The sequence below is a fragment of the Homo sapiens genome, chromosome 16 (assembly GCF_000001405.40).
Source record: "Homo sapiens chromosome 16, GRCh38.p14 Primary Assembly".
NCBI lineage: Eukaryota > Metazoa > Chordata > Mammalia > Primates > Hominidae > Homo > Homo sapiens.
The window spans coordinates 56,850,956-56,852,795 of record NC_000016.10 but is presented as its reverse complement, the minus strand read 5'-3'; the positions used below and the strand labels follow the sequence as shown (position 1 = coordinate 56,852,795).

Sequence of the window (1,840 nt, the reverse complement as noted above, 5' to 3'; positions counted from 1 at the left end):
CACAGGGCAGACCCTTAAACATTTGTTGAACTGCATTCTCCACTTGGCAGTTCCTAAACAAACAGGAACCAGAAGTTGAACTTGACATGTCAATGTCTTTCCCCATTAGCAAATTTTTGGCTCATCAATGTTGACCTAATTTTGTCTCTTATCAAAAAAAAAAAAAAAAAAAAAAAGGCATCCCTGAGGTGGGAGTCATTGATTTGACCTGCACCCATGTGCAGGCCCTGTTGTGAAGGGCAGAAGCCCAGTGGTGGAGGACGTGCCTACAGCCTTGGAGACTGTCTCCACAAGGCAGGGACCTGGGTGGCCACAATGAACGTTTATTTATGGAGAGCCCCCTGTGCGACAGGCAACAGGTTTTAACTTCCTCTTCCCAGTGGCCTGATGGAATAGAAACTGGCGTGCCTGCTTCCTACAAGAGCAAACTGGTTCAGAGCAATGGAAGGACTCACAGCTCCCAAGCTCTGAAGCCTTGTGGTGCAGGGTGGCTGCCTGGCCAGGACTTGCTCCCTCCAGCCAGGGCACAGTCATTCCATGTTCCTTACCTTTCCCTCTTCCCATCCTCCGCCTCCCGCTGTTGGGAAGACCCTTACTTGCAGAATTTAGTTTTCAAAGAAGTCTGACATTCTTGTGCTTTCTGATGCTACTGGCAGCTGCAAGCCACCAGAGGGCCACATCTTAAACGTCTGTTTTTGAAGAAAAAAAGTGCTCTATTTGGTTTGGTTCGAATTTTCCTAAAAATTCAAGCCAGCTGCTCCATCAAGCTGATCAGAGACCCACCCCGAGTGTGGTAGGGTCAGTGGTGTGGTGGGGGTGATGCCTCTAGACTGGCGCTATGGGAAGGAGACATTTGGGAAAACTGAGGAAAAAGAATTTGCAGCCAACCTCTCCAACGAAAATGTCTCTCCCCAATAGCACTCCCAGCAGGCAGCTTCCCCAGCCTCTGGGGCCTCACTTCCCACCATCAGTCCTCATATTTCTCTGTGGCTGTTTGCTTCTCAGGGCTTCTATGCAAACCTGGCCATTTCCAGGAACAGCTGAGGTGCCACTCATGTTGGGGGGACCAATGGCCTTAAATTTGTCTTCTTCCCTTGCCATCTGGGTGGCATTTTAATGGTTTTAACTGAGGACCCAGAAAGAATCTTCACCCCACTGAAAAGCCTACAGCTCTCAAGAAACCTGAGGCCGGGCGTGGTGGCTCAAGCCTGTAATCCCAGCACTTTGGGAGGCCGAGGTGGGCGGATCACCTGAGGTTGGGAGTTCGAGACCAGCGTGACCAACATGGAGAAACCCTGTCTCTACTAAAAATACAAAATTAGCTGGACATGGTGGTGCATGCCTGTAATCCCAGCTACTTGGGAGGCTGAGGCAGGAGAATCGCTTGAACCGGGGAGGCGGAGGTTGTGGTGAGCTGAGATTGCACCATTGCATTCCAGCCTGGGCAACAAGAACTCTGTCTCAAAAAAAAAAAAAAAAAAAAGAAACCCAAATAAACAGGGCCACCCTTACCCCCAGAGGCCCTCTCTCCATCTGCTCCCAGCCCCTGACAGTCTCCCTCCACAGCCAAAGGCTGCCAGCCCCAGCTCCAGGAGGTGCTGTGCCATCCCACAGGAGGCCATTAAACAGGCTGATGGGGTCTGAGGCCCAGATTCCCAGGTGACTCATCAGGAAATGGCCTCCCAGATGCCAGCACAAGCTGAGGGCCCCAGGCAAAGGGGAGGGGCTGAAACTCTTTTGTGGAGCCCCTTCAGGGATAGCACACTGGGCCACTGGGCAGCTGACCCACGTCACTTCAGAGCTCCTGTTAGGGCAGGTCTCCAGGTGGAGAGAATATGAA

At 51.7% G+C, this 1,840-nt stretch overlaps 1 annotated feature.

The window, feature by feature from the left end:
* Window positions 699-906: a silencer, noted in NCBI's record as "fragment chr16:56885802-56886009 (GRCh37/hg19 assembly coordinates)". NCBI's record gives its function as "represses an EF-1alpha promoter that drives an FKBP-Casp9 reporter gene in an ReSE screen in phorbol 12-myristate 13-acetate-treated (for megakaryocytic differentiation) K562 erythroleukemia cells {active_cell/tissue: K562(+PMA)}" and the evidence as "EXISTENCE:reporter gene assay evidence [ECO:0000049][PMID:32094911]".